The 18279-nt window shown below is 64.6% G+C and overlaps 1 protein-coding gene across 10 annotated transcripts in view; it reads right to left on the bottom strand.

The window, feature by feature from the left end:
- Positions 1–18279, bottom strand: part of PLCH2 (phospholipase C eta 2) — an 89590-nt gene that overhangs the window by 34115 nt on the left and 37196 nt on the right. Inside the window, exon 1 of one of the 10 annotated variants that reach the window (NM_001303012.2) lies at positions 3756–3967. The exons of the other annotated variants lie outside the window; for them this stretch is intronic. Coding sequence (NP_001289941.1) covers positions 3756–3798 — 43 coding nt within the window. The 5' untranslated portion in view covers positions 3799–3967. Of the gene's footprint in view, positions 1–3755; positions 3968–18279 lie in introns of those variants that run through there. 10 annotated transcript variants of the gene reach the window in all.

The following is an 18279-nucleotide window of genomic DNA, read 5'->3' as shown; positions in this document are numbered from 1 at the left end:
TGGCAAGTGGACAGGATGGCCTCTGAGGCCAGGTGACCCGTACCTTCCCCCAGTGCAGCCCTTCTTGTGCAGGTGGGCGCCTGCCCAGCCCAGGCCTCCACACTCTCCAGCTGGCCCGCTATGGCCAAGGGGGCCCCAACATCTGGCCTTTCTCTGGCCTCTTCGGGACAGCCAGGGCCAGGTCCCCATCTCAGTAAGGGTCCCTCCCAGAGTGGGCTCCCCTTCCTGCCCCCTCGCCGTCCCCAGCCATCCCCAGCTGGTGGCAGCCCAGCTCACAGCAGCGGTATTAATCGCACTTGACAGCCCCATCAGGAAGGGGACCCTATTAATAGCCCATTTCACAGCTTCCTCCCCCCACCGCGAGTGCCCCCCCCATTGTGTGTCCCTGGAGGCTCCTGTCCCTGCCACAAGTCACTGGTTTCTCTGAGGCCCTGGCTGCCTCTCTGCCCTCACTGAGCAGGGCATGGCCAGCAGGGGCATCGCACCCACCTGGCCTGGGGCTCTCTGAAGGCAGGTGCACGGCCTTGCCCCCAGCCACCGTCCAGGACACCCCAGAGGAGCTGCAGAGGGAGCCAGGCTCGTGGCAGCCACGGTGGGGGAGCCTTTCCTGAAAAGTCACCAGATGGAGCCTGGCCTGCCAGCTGGGAGAGAGGGAGCTCCTGCCGAGTGAGGGGAGGGGGCTGCAGCTCCAAGGGGAGGGTCCTCGGGCCAAGTGGTCAGAGCCAGCCCTGCCCCCAGCCCATAGCCAGGCGCGGGAGGGAGGGTGGCAGCTGGGCCGCTGCCAGGCAGAGCAGGCATGGAGCCACGGAGGAGGCGAGGAAACAGGAGGCTGAGCCCGCCACATCCGTCCCGGCACGGGGCTGCTCTTCCCGGCCAGAGCACCCCGGGCCACTGCCAGGCCGGGGAGCAGCCCCACGAATGCTCTGCCAGAGAGTCTCAGACAGAGAGGGTGTCCTGGAGATGGAGCTGGCCCTCTGAGCTTCCCTGCCTGAAGTTTCTGGGATCTTGTATAGTCGTTCCGTCCCTGTCTGGACCTCCCTGCTCAAGCTGGCCCTGGGGCTGGGCTGGCTGCCCTGTCTCCCACTCCTGCCTTTTGGGAGCCAGTGAGGTGCTCCCTGGGTCGGCCCCCACCCACACACCAGCTGACCCAGGAAGGGCACAGGGCTGCCCCTGAGAACTGGGCCGCCCGAAACCTCCACAACAGGGACCTGAAAGTCGGAGCAGCCAGGGGCCTGATCAATGTGAAATCAAGACCACTCAAGTCCCTCAGAGGTGTGTTCCTGGGTCGCCAGGTCTGAGCGGTGGAAGGGACCTACTCCCAGGACAGTGTGGCCACCGTCCCCAAGTCAGGGCTGCATCATGGTGCCTGGGACCTGCCTGCTGAAAGAGCCTCCTGTAGCCCTCACCCAGGTGCTGCTCTCTGGGGCAGAGCTGGAGGGGGTTCCACAGTCCCACCAGAGTGGCTCACTGTTGTCTCCAGTGACCGTCAGCCACAAGGCCCCCTCTCGGGGTCTTCACCCAGCTAGCATGGAGCCATGCCTGCGGCCACCACGGTGAGTGACTTCTCAGGAGCCAGAGGAAACGTCCTGTCCTGGGGATGGTGTCCACCAACTCCACCCTGCCCCCACACGGGAGGCCCGCGCCCACTCGCCTTTCCCACACAGGAAGTCCGTCCAGCCGGTGGGAGCCCACGTATGCAGTGCTGGGAGCAAAATCCCGGGAAGAAACAGGCACGTTGGATTACTCATCCCCTTCCCCAACCCCTCCCCCTGCCCACCCTCAATGAAGGTGGAGCCACTGGGCCTGGGTCCCTGAGAGGGCCCCAGGCACCCCACACACACCTGCCCCAGCAAAGGGCACTGCCCGGGCAGGGCCAGCCCATGGCTTCTCCAGGAGAAGGTGCCAGGAACTGGGACGCCATCGTCATCAGCTCATTAGCTGTGCAGATGGAGGGCTGGACCCAGGACACTGGCCCATCTGCTCCGTCCTCGGCGGCACGTGGAGTCTGTAAGGACTGTTCTGCTGGCTCCCCTCCCTCTGCCCAGAGGACGCAGGCACGGAGGGTGGGCTCAGAGCCACTCCCACCACTGCCCCCTCCTAAGACTAGGCCCTTCCCTGGCCAGCTGCAGACCCCAAGTGTGCTGGGTCTCCTGGAACCTGGGGCTTTGGGGCCACCCGGCAGCAGCCAGCCCCTGTCCACAGCAGGCAGGCATCCTGAGCCCAGTGGCCAGCACAGGGCAGTGACTCCAGGGAGCTCTCTGCAGGCCAGACAGGCAGGAACCAGGGACAACGTGCCCAGGAGAGCCCTGGGATGGGGGCTGCGGTCAGCGAGTGGGTGCACCTGGAGTGACCTGAATATACAGCCCATCCTACAAACAGTGTCTGCCCAGCAGCCCTGGTTACATCTGCCACACTATTCTCCATTCAGAGAGGGCACCTCCACTGGGGGTGGGACAGAGGAGGGGACAGGCACCCTGGAGCAGCTGCACAGGCCAGGCACGGCATGACCACTGCAGACAGGCTTGCTCTGAATGCCCACAGCCACCCTGTGAAAGCGCCCCATGCTATCCCTCTTGCCCATGGAGGCTCAGAGAGGCTCAGTCCCTTGTGTGAGGTCACACGGTTTATCAGAGGCAAAAACCAGCAACCCGTCCCCAGTCTGCCCAGCAGCGATGCCATGTCCCACCCCACGTGTCCATGCCAATCACAGGGCAGAACAAGCAGGTTCCAAACCACCAGGAGGCAAGCTCCTACTGTCCCTGGAAACCCAGGAGTTCCTCCTGGTGTCTGGCCTGAGCCACTTCTTCTGCAGCCGTGGCCACTGTCCCCCTTCACGTTTTCCTCTCCCCGCCCCTGGCCCAGAGCTAGCGCTGTGTTTGGGGAGCTGGAGACCCTGCCCCTCTGGCCCAGAGCTAGCGCTGTGTTTGGGGAGCTGTAGACCCTGCCCCAGCCAGTGCTGAAGGGGCCTGCCCAGGATGCCCCTCGGAAGCTCCTGCTGTGAACAGCCCCGGGGCTTCCGCCACCCCTGCTGCTCCGCTCTGTCTGCGCAGGGCAATGTCCGGCTCCCAGGTCAGGAAAGCGTGACAGATCACAGCAAGAAATCTCCAACCCGGAGCGGAGCGGGATGGGCCAGACCAGAGTGTAACTCCAGGGAACCCTGAGGACGCACAGCAACTGCAGGCCCCCCAGAGAAAGCAGCAGCTGCCCCTGTCCATGGTGCTGACTGCAGCTCAGGGCCACCTTTGCCAACCTCGATCAGGGGCTGGGGTGGGGTTGGGCCAGGAGAGCCCCCAGAGCCAAAAGCCAGAGCCTACCAGCCCCTGGCACCCCCAGACCTGCCCCCCACCCGAGCAGTGTGCATCCGCTGGGATCAAGCTGGAGGTCAGGACCCGTGCTGGCATGGCTGAGGGCGCCTCCCCCACCGCCCACCTGGACTGTGTTGGACCCTTTGCAGGGAGCAGACCCTCTCGCTTTCACGTGTCAGCACAGGGGCAGATGAGGCAGGGTGGGGGCGCCAAGGGGTGGGGGCAGCATCCCTCCTCTGGGACCGAGTCTGAGGGATGTGCAGGTAATGGGGTCATTGGGCCGTGCTCCCGGAGACCCTGCTGGGAGGAGCTCTGCACTGCCCACGGGGGGTCAGTGGGTCACCAGTGAACAGGTCCGGTCCTGGGCGGGTCACCAGTGAACAGGTCCGGTCCTGGGCTCCCTACGGGGACCATCACAACCCCCTTCTGGGATCCCACCTGCCCCCTTACCTTGGTCTTGGCTGAGCCCACCTGGGGGCCCAGGCTCTTCCATGGCCGGCGGGTGCCAATCCCAGTTACCGGCACGGCCCGAGGGACACCGGGCCCTGTGCTGGCCCCCGGCGTCCCCTGAGCCCCAGCCCGAGCAGGGGCACCCCGCGCGCAGAGCCCATGCCGATCGCAGCCCCACACGCTGCCCTGCCGCGCCCGCCCGTGAGGAAGGTGAGGAAGGCGAGGGGAAGGCGGGACGGGGCCGCCGCTGGGACCGCCCCTCCCGTGGGAGCCCCGCCCACTTAACCCTTGGCTGCCCAGCCCGGGCCCAGCAGCCTCTGCTGGAGTGGGAAGGGAGGACACCTGGGCTGGGGTCTCTGGCGGGAGCTGAGCTGGCTCCGCTGAGAGGCCAGAAGGGGAGGCGGGTTGGCTGCTGGCTCTTCCCATAGCAGCTTGAGCGACCACCCACCGTTCATCCTGTCCTCCCTCCCTCCCTCCCTCCCGGCAGGGCTCCTCCTACTGAGGGGTGGCTGCACCCCCAGGACCAGAGCCAAATGCTCCCTGGCTGGCTGCCCCTCCACCACAGGGACCCTCTGGTCATTACACCCCAGGCCCCGCAGGCTGCAGCCAAGAAGAGCCACTCACCCCAGGAGGGCCTCTGGGAAGGGCTGAGCACTGCCAAGGGTCATTGAGGTGACATTTCACTGGCTGCCCTGGGGGGCGTCCAGCGTTGGGGGAGGCCGAGTTCCAGCAGTAGCTCCTGGTGATGGTGACGGTGACGGCTGCAGCCCTGCGTGCTGCTACACCCCTTCCTGTGCTCTCCCAGCCCCTCGCCTCCCTGCCCTGTCTGTCCAGTGCTGAGCTGCCCGCGCTGGGGTCCTCTCCCTCTCCGAGCCAGCATTCTGCCTCCCCCTGCACGCGCTGCTCCCAGCATCTGAGGGACGTAACATTTTCCAGACAAAAGAGACGTCCACCCATGGGGGGTGTTCTGAAAGGTACCACCTCTGCCCCAAGGGGCCTTGAGCCCCCATCCCAGAGTGCGGCCTGGGAGGCTTGTGTGGACACTGAGCCCCGGATGTGGGCAGGGCAGGCAGGCACGCAGGCCCGGGCAGGAGGATGTGGGGCCGCCTCTGGGCTCTCTGAGCCGCTGCCACCTCAAGGTGTGACCACCTCCTGCCATGCGGGGCCCCAGGTGTGGAGGGGGAGGGGAGCCACCAGCAGCTGCAGTCACCACCTGGGTCCTGCCAAGGAAGGCCCCTGGGCGCAGCTGCCTGGCACCCTCAAAGGAGCTGCCTCCTGCCTTTACCACCACTCAGGTGGCCTAGGACCCTCGGCTGGACCAGCCCCTGCCCTGGGCTCTTGGGACCTGCCCTCGTGAATGAACAGTCTCTCTCACGACCCATTCGGCACAGCCAGGGTCCCAGGGCCTGTGTCCGCCTGGCTGGGCACAGCTGCGAGAAGGGAGGGGCGGCCCCCTCCCTCTGGGCCCCAGGTCTCAGTGGGTCCCGGTGCTGAGCTGAGTGGCAGGGCTGAGGGGAGGCCAGGCCACAATGGGGGCTGTCCAGGCAATGACACTGCAGTGCACGTGTGCCAGAGGCAACCAGTGGCCCAGGAGCAACAGGCGTCCCAGCATCCCCCACACCTGGGCTCTGCATGTCCCCTGGGACAGTCCACTCAGGAAAGGGCCAGCAGCCCCAAGTCTCAGAAGGGAGAAACTGAGGTGGGGAGAGGAGACAGAAGGCGAAAGCCACAGACACGCCCAAGGGTGGGAAGGAGGGAGAGGGGTGTGCGGGCTGCAGGTCCCGACCCAGCCACGCCTCCTTGGAGTGGACAGAGGCCCCTGAGCCCCCTTCCAGAGGCCGGTGAAACCCAGGTTCAGGTTCTAAGGAATAATCCATCCTCAGGGCCAGCCCCGCCCGCCACTCAGCCAGGAGATGATTTCCGTCACCGCGGCCTGCGATTAAAGGCGGTGATTAAAAGCCGCCCGCTGCACATGTTAATTTGCTTAAGATTCTGATCTCCTAAATCTCTTTTCTGGGCATTTAAGCAGAATTCTGTCTTTGAGAGCATTTGGCCCGGCGGGTGGCAGGTGGCGGGCGGCAGGCGGCGGGCAGCAGGTGAGGAGGCACCATGGTGGCAGGGGAGCCAGGCCCCAGGGAGTTTAATTTTCTCCTCGTTTGAAGAAGGCGACTGGAAGGAACAAGCACATCCAGGGACGCAGAGCCAGCTGTGAGCCCGCCAGAGCCCCTGCCCATGGGCCGGCACAGCTGGGAGGACCAGACCCAGCTTCTGCCTTGGCCGGAGGGTGGAGGGCAGAGGGCAGAGGGTCCCCACCCTGTAGGCCCAGAGCTGTGTCTCCTCAGCCCCGCTTTCTGGGACTGGTTCTTGCCTTCCGGGTCTGAGAGGCTGCCCCTGTCCCCACAGTCTAAGGCTGGATTTGGCTGTGAGCCCTGGCTGGATCTCTCCTTGGGTTCACAGGCATTGCCAGGACAGAGGCCGGAGGAGACCACACCCTGAGACAGGGCGAGCCTAGACCTTGGCCCACAGCCCTAGGTTCTCAGCTAGGCCTGTAGGTGGGCAGAGCTGATCCCCCTTCCCCTGTGCCTCAGTTTCCTTGATGTGCAATGGAAACACTGCACACCTGCTCCCCGGGCCCTGGCTCTGCACACAAAGGCAGCCACTTCCCCTGCCCTCTTGGGCTTCAGTGACACCAAGCCCAGCCTCAGGGCCTGCTGAGCCCCTAACGCCTCCTGCAGAGCCGAGCCTGAGGGTCCCGTCTTCAGTCTGTGTGAGTTGACTGAGAGCTGGCCGTGAGCCCGAGGCCACCTGAACCAGGTGCTGCCCTGACCTCCATGCTGCCCACCCCAGAGTCCGCAGTGTCTCCATCTCATCTCTTTCAGCTGGAGGGGCTTTCTTGCCCTGCAGGCTGGACAGAGGCCCCAAGCAGGCAGGGCACCACCCAGCATCTCACAGGGGTAGGGGTGGGAGGCAGCTGAGTCCGGACAGAGCCCAGGCCCCGGCTTCCCTGCAGTGCACCTTCCATTCCTGCTTTCTCCATTGGCTTGGGGGAGCAGGAGGTGGCCCCCCTCCTCAGCCATCCTGCAGCAAAAGTTCCTTCACGTCTCATCTCCAAAGAAAACCATTTAGGTGGCCCCTGCCCCAGGGCACAGGTTCAGGAAGACACGGCCAGCCCAAAGACAGGGGCCACTATAGGCCAGGGTTGCTCCAGGCTCCCAGGCACCCCTGAGGACCTCTGTGCACTCGTGTGCATGCCCAGGGGCCAGATAAGCACTCCATGCACCAGCCTGCGTCAGGATTGCCAATTCTGAGCCCGCAGGTGACCCTGTGTTTGAGCACAAACAGCCCCAGAGAAAGCCAAGGATGGAAAGATGGAGATGCACATCGGGAAGACCAGAGTAAGGGCAGAGTGGGGAGGGGAGAAGCTCGTGAAGCCCCCCTGCCAACACTCGAACCCCATGGAAAGAGACTCCACCCCCAGGACTTCCCACAGCCCAGCTGCTTCTGAGCCCCAGAGCCCTCTCTTGGACAGTGGGCAGCACCCTGTGCCGCCAGGGAGGCCAGTGCCCTGGTCACACCCGCAACCAGCTGCCGAGCGATCCCACCGCACAGAAGCCCAGCACCATGTCCTCTGGGGCTGCCAGCAAGGGGTGCCCTGAGTGTGTTCCAGAAAATGCCACTGTAGACAGGAGCCGGGAAGGGCAGTGCTCCGGCCAGCTCAGGAGACCCCAGTTCACACCCTGACTCTGCCCGACTCTGTGTGCCCCATGGGAGTTCACTGCCTCTCCGGCTTCAGTTTCCCTGTGTTGAACCAGGGAGGACCAGCAGTTCTCCAAGGGCCTGGCCAGCTGGTGCCTTGGCTCAGGCCATGGGGAGGAGGGTTCCCAGAGGAGGGCAGTGGGCACCTTCAGTGCGGTCTGGCGGGGGACATTCTTGCACCAAAGGTCCAAGTGTGATATCCCCCTGGGTGGCCACTGCTGTGAGGAGGGGCTAGGAGCCCTGTTCTCGGGTCGCGGGCTCTGACCAGTCTCCGGGCTGCAGCTGTCTCCCAGCAGCCTCCAGGAGCAGAGCCCTGAGAAACCGCCTCCCGCCAGCGGTGTGGGGCCTTCGTGGGGTGCCTCGGTTTCAGCTTCCGAGTTCTGTCCTACATATGTCTCCAAGGAAACGCTTCCCGATGACCTGCTGCAGTAAACAGATTCTCGGCTGCAGCCCCGTTCAGCAAACTTCAGCAGGCAGGGGCTCTGCAGCCTGCCTACCAGCACCAGGGCGACCTGGGGACACAGCGAGGTCCCCCATGTGTCCCTGATTCTGCTCCTCCACCACCTTGGAATGTCTGAGTTCGACGGGCCCCCAGAGGCCCCTGGATCCAACCTCTTCACTTTTCAGATAGGGAAACTGAGGCAGGGGACTCTTGCCCGGGGTCTCACAGCCCAGCTGACCCTGCAGCTCCCCCTCCGGGGCTGGTCCACAACAGTCGCACTGGCCCTGCAGCCCCCTGGAGGTGAGCACCCCAGCCTCCTCATCGTGCACAGAACGTCCTAATTACCTCTCAGAGGTGCCAAGCGCACATTTAAAGACAGAAATGCAGGCCCCTCCAATGACGAGACGGTGCTGACAGCTCTGCGGCTGGGAGAGACACAGCCCAGAAGCCCATACCTCAGACATTTCATTAATTATTCAACATCAAAGCGAATTCCGTGTTGCTTTCTTGCCTGGTTTAAGAGTTCTATGGATGTTACGGCTTCGGTTAGGAAACTAAGCCCACTGTGGGGGCCTCGAAGGGCCAGATCCACCCCCACCACCCCGACACACATCTTGGCACCAGGATGGGCTGAGCGACCTCCTGTCCTGGGCAGTGGCTAGGGGGTGGGAGCACAGAGTAAGGCAAGGGATGCCCCTCTAAGGCCCTGCTGTGTCCCCAGCACAAAGATCCCCTACTGCCTCAGCCCCCAGGGCCCCATGTGAAACCACCCCAGCGATGCCCAGAGCCCAGAGCTCGGTTCTGGGGCTCTAAGGTCACAGAGGAGCACATCGCCTGGCTGAGGAGGAAGACAGACCAGTGAGGACCTGGCCAGACTGACCACGGGCCACCCAGACTGACCGTAGTTGCCCCGGATGGACCAAGATGCCTTGGGGTGACCACCTGACAGCAGGCCATGGGGACAAGACCACGCATCAGGCAGAGGGGGTGTCAGGTGGAAGGGTGTCAGATGGAGGGGTGTCAGGCAGAGGGGTGTCAGGTGGAGGGGTGTCAGGCAGAGGGGTGTCAGGCGGAGGGGGTGTCAGGTGGAGGCGGTGTCAGAGGGGCTGTCAGGCAGAGGGGGTGTCAGGCAGAGGGGTGTCAGGCAGAGGGGGTGTCAGGCAGAGGGGTGTCAGGTGGAGGGGGTACCAGGCAGAGGGGTGTCAGGCAGAGGGTATCAGAGGAGGTGTCAGGCGGGGGTGTCAGGTGGAGGGGGTATCAGGTGGAGGGGGTGTCAGGTGGAGGGGGTGTCAGGCAGAGGGGTGTCAGGTGTAGGGGTGTCAGGCGGAGGGGGTATCAGGCGGAGGGGTGTCAGGCGGAGGGGGTGTCAGGTGGAGGGTTGTCAAGCGGAGTGGTGTCAGGTGGAGGAGGTGTCAGGCAGAGGGGGTGTCAGGCAGAGGGGCTGCCGAGTGGCACAGCCAGTGCAGGCAGAGTTCCAGAGAGGGGGCGCCAGGGGAGGCAGCCCCAAGAAAGTGGGACTCAAGCAAACACAAGCTGATGGGACAGGGGGTCCCGGGTGGATGGCCAGGGAAGGCCAGATGCAGAGGCCCTGGGGGGGATGAGTCTGGCATCCCCAGCTGCCCTGCCCACCTTCCATGGTGCCATTCCCCAAACAAAGGCCCCAGCCCTGCTCCTGGTTCCCCCAAGCCTGGGGGAGTTGCAGACAGGTTCAAAGGGAACATTGTTAATGCCAAGGCAGAGGCGCAGAAGAAACAAAGAAGACAGAGCAAGAAACAGCTGGATTTGAGGCCCACAGAGGCGGGAGGCATGGGGATGGGGTGTCCAGTGGGCGTCACTGTCCCCACAGTGTTCCCTGTTGCGGGCTGGAGGGGAGCCGAGGCCCCAGGGCTGGGTAACCCAGCAGGGAGCGAAAGCTGAGCCAGCCACAGGGACCGGAGCTTCGGGAAGGCTCTGCCCTGAATCATCTCAGCAGGACCCACACATCCTAGCCTCCCAGTGCCCAGGGGCCAGGTCCCACATGGACCGAGCTCAGCCCGCCCTGCTAGCAGCATCCACAGTCACAGCAGGTGCCCACATGCCTCCCTCCTCCCTGCTGAAGGACAGCCTTGCCAGGGGGTTCAGGCACCACCAGAAGGGCCCTGGCCAAGGTCGGTGGGTCAGGTGTCCAGCCCCGGGCTGCAGAGCCCCACTGGACGCTGAGGGAGCAGGCACTGCCCTGGCTGCCCAGCCCTACCCCCCTGCAACAGCCTGACCTACATTCTGTGCCCGCATGCAGCAGCCATGCAGAGCCTTGGCCAGCCTGGCACGGAGTCCAGTGAGCAGGATTGCAGGACGAACACTGCCCCATGGCCACCAATGCAGCCACGTCCCAGGACACACACCCTCAGCAGGGTCTGTCAGGAGCTGCTGGCCACCTGGCCCCACCCAGGCCCTCCCCATGTGGGGGTGTGAGATCCGGCCCCAGAGAGGGGCACTGGGCACACTCCTGAGCCCCCACGCCACCAGGCTGGCACCCAGCCTCAAGGGCCTGCTGAAGGAAGGGCAGAGAGAGAAGAGGCGAACCCGCAGCTGTTGCCCTGCAGGTGGGGAGTGTTGCCGCTGCACTGAGGGGTCTGAGGCTCAGAGAAGCTGTGAGACCTGCTAAGTCCACACGGTCAGTCACGGTGAAACCTGAGCTCAGGTCAGCCCCTGGCTGCTGGTCAAAGGCCCCCACAGCCTTGGCCCCACAGGCAGGCCAGTCCCCACCCCCAGGACCAGGAGCCCCTTCAGCCTCACCAGCCTCCACCAGGGTCATCAGGCCCGAGCAGCCCAGCTTACACCTGGGTGCCGCCCCAGGCCTCCCAGCTGCTTGCATCGTTAAAAATATGAAAATCCTTGAAAAAGAAGCAGTGTCCCTTTTATGCCACTAAGCCCCTGCCTTTGGCTCCCAGGATCCCAGTCCTCAGACTCGGTTCTCAGGCCAGAGGGAGCCCACACGGCCCATGCCCCGGGGCCAAGACCTGCCACCCTCTGCGTCCTTCCTTGCCTGTCTCCAGCCCACCTGTTCCATACCCCTAGCCATCAGCCGGGGTTTACTAACCACCTGCTGTGTGTGGGCATGGCTTAGAGCTGGAGAGGAAGTGAGGAAACCAGAGGTAGGCCCCGCACCCAGAGGGCTTCTGGTCTGGGAGACACAGAGCAGTGGTCAGGGGTCCTAGCTCTTGGGGGAACCCGGCCTGGGACCCCGGGGCAGCATGGCCTTAGAAAAGCCCTGGAGAGAATGGGCTGCTTTCCTGGACAGCAGGGCCCCTGGGGACATGAAGGGCCAGTCCCATGGGGGCACGGGCCCCTCCCTTAGGCCAGGCTAGAGCAGCAAGGGGAGGAACCGGAGGGCAGAAAGGGCCTGGGCAGGGCTGGACAGCGCCAGCTGGAGCACAGTCACTGCCGGAGCAGAAGAGCGCTTGGCCCAGGTCCCAGCTCAGGGTGCTCGCTTGGAGCCAAACAGGCCAGAGGGGAGCGAACAGAGTGGTGAGGGGCCGATGGACGCTTCCACTGGCCGCATGGACCGGCCCCTCACGGTGCCAAGGAAACAGCCCCACCATGAGGCGCTGAGCAGAAACTGGCCTCCAAACACTGCCCGCCGTCCACGGCCGGCCGGTCCTGCGTGTGAATTACTCAGGAGCGTATTCCCCACGCGCCAGCACTGCATTCAGATAAGCGCTGGCTCAGTGTCAGCCCAAGGAAGACAGACCACAGGCAAGGAGGACCACCGGAAAGGAAGACCACCGGAAAGGAAGACCACCGGAAAGGAAGACCACAGGCAAGGAGGACCACCGGAAAGGAAGACCACAGGCAAGGAGGACCACAGGCAAGGAGGACCACCGGAAAGGAAGACCACCGGCAAGGAGGACCACCGGCAAGGAGGACCACCAGGAAGGAGGACCACCAGGAAGGAGGACCACCAGGAAGGAGGACCACCAGGAAGGAGGACCACCAGGAAGGAGGACCACCAGGAAGGAGAACCACCAGGAAGGAGGACCACCGGCAAGGAGGACCACCGGCAAGGAGGACCACCAGGAAGGAGAACCACCAGGAAGGAGGACCACCGGCAAGGAGGACCACCAGGAAGGAGAACCACCAGGAAGGAGGACCACCAGGAAGGAGGACCACCAGGAAGGAGGACCACTGGCAAGGAAGACCACCGGCAAGGCTGCAAGGGGCACGTGCATCTCCAACAAGACAAAATAAACAAGCCAGAGAGGGCTTGTCACCAGCGTGGCATTTGTCACCATGTCCCATGCAGGGCCAACGGGAGGCCCAGTGAAGCTCCTGGCGGATGGCAAAAACCCACTGACCACCTGGCATCACCAAGGCCGCCTCCTGAGCCCCACCTCCAGATGGGTGCAACCCAGCCACCGGGGAGCAGGATTCGGGGCTGAGTCTGCAATGAGGGGGCCAGGTCACTACGAGGCAGTGACTCAAGAGTGCCCAGGAGCAGCCACGCTGCAAGACCGGCGTGGCCCAGGCTGCTGAGAAGCAGCACCAGCCCCTCGGGCCCCCGTTTGCAGAGACGGCCAAGCACACATCACAGCGCACGGGGACATCCCCAGATGTAGTCACTTTTTACCATGGTTGCATAAGTGCAGATTAGAAGCCAGTGAGACTCGGGAGTACAGGAGGCTGAAGTGGGAATGAAACGTGGCCTCGAGATCATCCCTGTGCAGATGGGTCTTTGGGGGGCTGCCCATACTGGGGGCAGGCTGCCTGTATGGGCGCGGTCTGGGCGGGAGCGTCCCTGAGGGCAGAGCCAGAGCCTCCTCAGGCATCTCCTCCGGCCACTCAGCCACTGGCTGCTCCAGGGGCACAGATGGAGCCCAGCTTCTCCCCAGGCCCAGGAAGCAGGGGTCACACCAACCTTGCTGGACCCACTGGGTCCACCCGGCCTGCCAGTTCCTGTGAAAGCAGGAAGGCCACTCGGGCCAGCCTGGCACCCGTTCCCCGGCCACTCGGCATGTCCAGGTCAGGCCAGGCCAGTGCCCAAGGGGGACTGTCCAGCCCAGCCTCCAGCCCTTCCTGTGTCATGGGTCCCGGCTGAGGGCTCCTGCTGTAGGTGCCCAGCCCCCTGCTAGTGCCCTGCTCCAGGGTCTCTGCCATCTGCTCCAAGGCAGCTGGATGCCTGCACAAGGTCCCAGTGTCTGGACGGCAGGACACACCCTTGTCCCATCCTCAGCCTCACAGGGGCCGGGCACTGAGCAGGGCCTTACGGGGACTGATAGGAGTCCCCCCGCCCCAGGCAGCCCGGTGTCCTGCCCTGAGTCCCCACCCAGCCGGCCACCTTCCCTGTGCTGTCAGAGCTCCCGAGGACAGGCCTGGGTGCCCACAGTGACGGCATGGCCCACCCCCACTCACACACACAGCCTGGGGCCAGTCAGCCCTGCAGGGATGCACCAGTGAGCCCAGCGCCCACCAGCCCCTTGCCTGTGCGGCCTCCTTGGTGCCTGAGGCCCGCACGTTGCTCTCTGCCCTCCCTACCACCCGCCCGGTGGACAGCATGGGCCGGGTGGCCATCAGTGCTATGCTGGCAAATGCTTTTTTTTTTTTTTTTTCAGGTCTAAAACAGAAAAGAAAGCAGCCTGCCCATTAGGCAAGAGGAAAGATCATCCAAGGGCTGGGAGCCGCTCCCAGCACGCGCCTCCTGGGACCGGGATGGTTCATGTTCCACACGAGGCTGTGGGTACCAGGGTGCAGCCAGGACTCGGGGTGAGCCACCTTCGCCTTTGGGGAACTTGTGACTGCCCTGTGGTCAGACACTGAGGAAACCGCTTCCTTCAGGGAGTCCTCCCTGACTGCCTGCAGGTCGCTGTTGGGCCCCTGAGAGGCAGGAGGCCATCCAGCAGCTCAGCCGCTCCCCCAGGGTGGGTGCGGCCCCGTCCCGCAACACACAGGCCCCATCTCAGCAGATCTCAGAACCCAAGGAGCGTCCCGGGAGGAAGGCCAGGAGACATTGGGGAGCAGGCGGCTGGGGAACCCTGGCGAGAAGCTGCAGTGGCAGGAAGCTGAGGCAGAGGGCACTCAGCCCCTTGTGATCACGGCCACGAGGCCACTGGGAGCATGCAGCCCCCCAGCCCCTGGCCACTCACAGGTCCCAGCCATGGCTGGAAAGGCCCCTGAAGCCCAGCAGGGAGGGTAGGAGAGGTCCCCACTGAGTGGAGGGCGGGCCAGCCCAGCGTGGCCAGGCAGGCCCAGGCCTCATTCCTGTCCTTGCTGATGGACGGAGCTGCCAGCTGGTCAGTTCACATCTCAGCCCACCTGAGAGAGCCCTGGGTACCCCCCAGCCCCAGGCCATCCTGCACAAGGGCTGGCCAGTGTGAGAAGACCACCAGGGCCGGACCCAAAGCCACCACCGCCACACCAGGCGCCTGAGGACTGGAGCCCCGGGGGGTTCTGGAGGTAGGTGGCTCTTGCCCCTTTGAAAATGGAGATGACAGGTAGGGGCCCTGGCTGGACAGAGAGGACCTGCCTAAGGCCTAGAGGAGGTGCGGATCGCCCCTCACAGTGCCAGAGTCATGGTGTGAACCTGGGGTCCCTTCCCACCTGGAAGCCCCTTGTGGCTGTGAGACCTGCTCTCCGCAGACCCAGCACGGGCCCCTCCGCTGGCCCTAGAAGGGGCAGAAAAAGGTCCTACCAAGTGGGCCCATTCTCTCAGGAAGGGTGGGCACCTCCCACCAAGAGCCCTGGACAAACCAAGTCCAGAGGAAGGCCCAGCTCCCTGGCTTCAGAGGGGGAAACTGAGGCCCAAGGAGGGCGGCTCCCTCAAGTTACAGCCATGGCAGGAAGCCGACGGAGGCCGCGTCTCACCAGCTCCAGCAGCTCCCCCATGTCCCCCAACCCCAAGGGGTCGACGGGTCTGCCGGGGGCGGGGGCTGCACAGGACGAGCCACCCCGGTGACCTCACGCGTCCCCAGAAGCACCGGCAGCGGTGACAGTGACGGTGACAACTGAGTCACCACCTGCAGCTTTTTAAGGCACAGCTGAGAGCAAGGGGCAATTTAAGTCTTTTTGACGAGCCCCAGAGCGCGTGGCTAGAGCGCCACCCGCCCCCCAGGGCCGCCCCGCCTCCCAAGCTGGGCTGGAGCCCCTCCAAGACCCTGCGGGGCTCAGCGGCCATGAGGTCAGGTAGGAGCCAGCGCCCAGGGGACGAACTGGGGGGGCTGCGCTCGGAAGCCAGGGGAGGCCTAAATCCGACAAAGGCCCGGGAGAAACTGCCCACCAGGTGATCTGGTGCTGGCGGCTTGGTAACCCTGATAGCCCTGTGACAGGCCCAAGGGACAAGCTGGGCCTCCCCTCTGGGCTCCGCATCCCAAACGGCATCAACACCGCCACCCACAGCCAATGCTGCCCCAGGCGACGCTGTTTCCTTACAAACACGGAATCTAATAATTGCAATATTGCCAAGCCCAAAATAACCCACAGTGCACCACTTGCCGAGCTCCTACCAGAGAATGGAAGTGAGTCAAACACAGCTGCAAAGCCGCTTTAAAAATACACTTAAACACACGAGCACACAGGCACACACACGCACACAGCCCGCCCGCGGGATGCTCACCTCCACCCACGGCACGGCTCAACAGGTATGGAGGGTGAAGACCGGGGCACGGCCGGGGAGGGAGGCCCTGCAGGGGGGTGGAGGGCCCGAGGGGCTCCCGGTGGCCATACTCCCCGAACTGGGCCCTCTCACACCTGCAGCAGGTGCGCTTTGCCACCTGGGAGCCTCCCGCCTCCATCTGCAGCAAAGGCCCTGGGGCCGCTCCTCTGAAGCTTCTGACTGCTCCTGCCCCCGCCTGACCCCCAGGACCCCAGGGAACAAGCGTCGGCATCCCCCACAGGCAGCTGCTCCAGCTATGGTGGCCACAGAGCATCCTTCACACTCACTGAGTCTAACTCCACCTGCAGGAAGGCGGGCTGCCAGCCTCCCTGCGCCCCCAGTAGGCCCTTCTCTGGGGACCCTGTGCCCCTACGTGCTCTCCCTGAGGGGTGTCTCCCAACCTAGCACAGGCCCTGGGAACAGTGGGTGAACCGCCAAATTTGGGGACCCACACCGAGGGATGCAGAGGGGGCCTGGCAGGGCCGAGGGTCCTCCTGCCCCGACACCTTGGTGCTCAGGCCAGGCCGGGGAACAGGGACCTGCCGGGCCTCTGGGCAGCACCCAGCCTAGACTGGCCATCACGCAGCCAACGTCCAGTTCCAGGTGCCCGCCCGTCCTAGCTCCCACAGCCGAGGGTCCCATGCCCGGGCTAAGCCTGCAGATGGGTCGGCTGAGTTCCTATCTCAGAAAAGAGCATGGTCTCAAGGGTAAGGGGAGAGCCAGGTCCCGGCTCCGCTGGGGGCTCAGCATCATGGGGGTCTGGCCCATGGAGGCTTCAGGGAGGAGCAGAGCCTTCTGGAGCAGGTGGGGGTCAGAGCACAGCTGGGCGCATGTGCTCAGGCCACATGGGGGGCCGAGGCCTGGCTGCCCCCAGGCAGGGAGGGTCCAGCCTGGACAACAGGTTTCTGGGGGTGACGCACACTCCACTGGTGACAGTGAGAGGGCTCCAAGGGGCTCCTGAGCCGCGAGCCACCTGCTCTGTCTCACCCACACTGCCACTGAGCCCCAAACCTGGCCAAGGACATAGTGCACAGACCTTCGGAGACAGGCCCTGCCCCAACAGCCCTGCAAGGGCCAGGACACCGAGGGGCCGAGCCAGGGCGCTGCTCTCAGGGAAGCCACCATTCCCGGTTTATCCCAGACCCTGGGGGCCCCTGGGGAAGCCACTGGGGCTCAGGTCCTGGCCCCTCCCCACTCGGAGGCCTCACCTGGGAGGGGGCTCCAGAGGCCCTGCAGGGTCCCAGGCAGGAAGGCCTGGGGTCCACCATCAGGCCACCCCTACCAAGTAAAGGGACACGGTCCACTCGGTGCATTGCTGGTTCAGCCCCTGGGGAGTAGCAGGTCCATGGCCTTGAGCCTCCACAGACCATCCTCCCGGAGGGGACCACACCACATCATGTCACATCAAGCATGTCACGTGGTGCCGCCTCCTGCCATACCACACCATCAACCCCTTCCTGAGCAAGGGCCTGCACTTCCAAGGGTCCTGCAGAGGCAGCCCTAAGACCCTGTCTCGGGGCTGCCTGGGGATCCCCACGTGTCAGGGTGAGTCGGGCATGGTGGGCGGGGCACTGGCCATCGGGGAACTGGAGGGCCCAGGCCCAGGTCACCTCCAGTGCTGCAGGGCAGGAAGGGAACAGGCAGTTCCTGCCCTAGGAGCTCAGCCAGGTGAGCCAGGACATGCCCCGGGGAGGCCAAACACCCAGCCCGGACTGCTGGAGAGGCCAGGTGGCCCTCATGGCTATGCCCACAGTGGGCACCCATAGGTGGGTGACAGACTCGGGGTGGGGGTGGCTTGCGGCACCCCCGGAACCCCACTACCAGCCTTGGCTCTCAGAGGCCCCCACACACTCGGCTCTCAGAGGCCCCCACACACTCGGCTCTCAGAGGCCCCCACACTGGCTGGGGCCTGCCCTCTTTCCCCCACCCCACTCGGCAGGCGCAGGCCAGGCCCCTCCAGCAGCCCCCGCCACCGTTGCCCAAAGTCCTGGGGACCCTGGAAGCCATAGCAGCCCTCCCCACCGGGAGACGGGGACAGGCACCAGGCTGGACCCAGGGCTGGCATCTGCTGGAGTCAGGAGAGGGTGTCCAGGGGCTGCACACAGGAACAAGGACCCCAGAAAGAGGCAGCAGAGAGCAGGCACTGGGGTGCACTTTCCTCTGCTGGGAGGATGGGGCTCTGCTCCACAGGGGGTGGAAGGAAGGGGTGGTGGAGGGTCCTGCCCCTGCCAGAGGGGGGTGGCCCTGGGCAATGGGGAGGGCAAAGGCCACAGGGCCCTGTGAAGACACTGGCCCTGGACACGTGAAGGAGGTCCTGTGAGCCCCGTGTCTCAGCCCAGATCACTGTCAGCATTCCGGGGCCAGTGGCCCCCTTCTCCAGGCTGGGGAGGGCCTGCGGTGTGCACAGACGCTCCCAGTGAGCCCTCCAGATAGGACAAGGGCCTCCCCTGCACCGCCTGCCATCCCCAGCTTCAATGTCCTCATCTTTGCAATGGGCGATAACAGGGCGGACTGGAAACATATGCCTCAGGGGTCTTCACCTCCCAAGCAGCACCACACGGGGAAGGGCCCCAGGGAGCACGGCGCCCACAGACCACATCTCGAGCACAGTGGGGGCACTGGCGCTGTCGGGGGGCAGACTTGCGTTTTGGCAAATTGTCCCGGCTGCCCCACTGGAAGATCGGGGGACAGGCAGGAGGCTT

The sequence above is a fragment of the Homo sapiens genome, chromosome 1 (assembly GCF_000001405.40).
Source record: "Homo sapiens chromosome 1, GRCh38.p14 Primary Assembly".
In the NCBI taxonomy this organism is placed as follows: Eukaryota; Metazoa; Chordata; class Mammalia; order Primates; family Hominidae; genus Homo; species Homo sapiens.
Note: the sequence above shows the minus strand (reverse complement) of the source record. Positions and strands in the feature narration are given on the sequence as shown.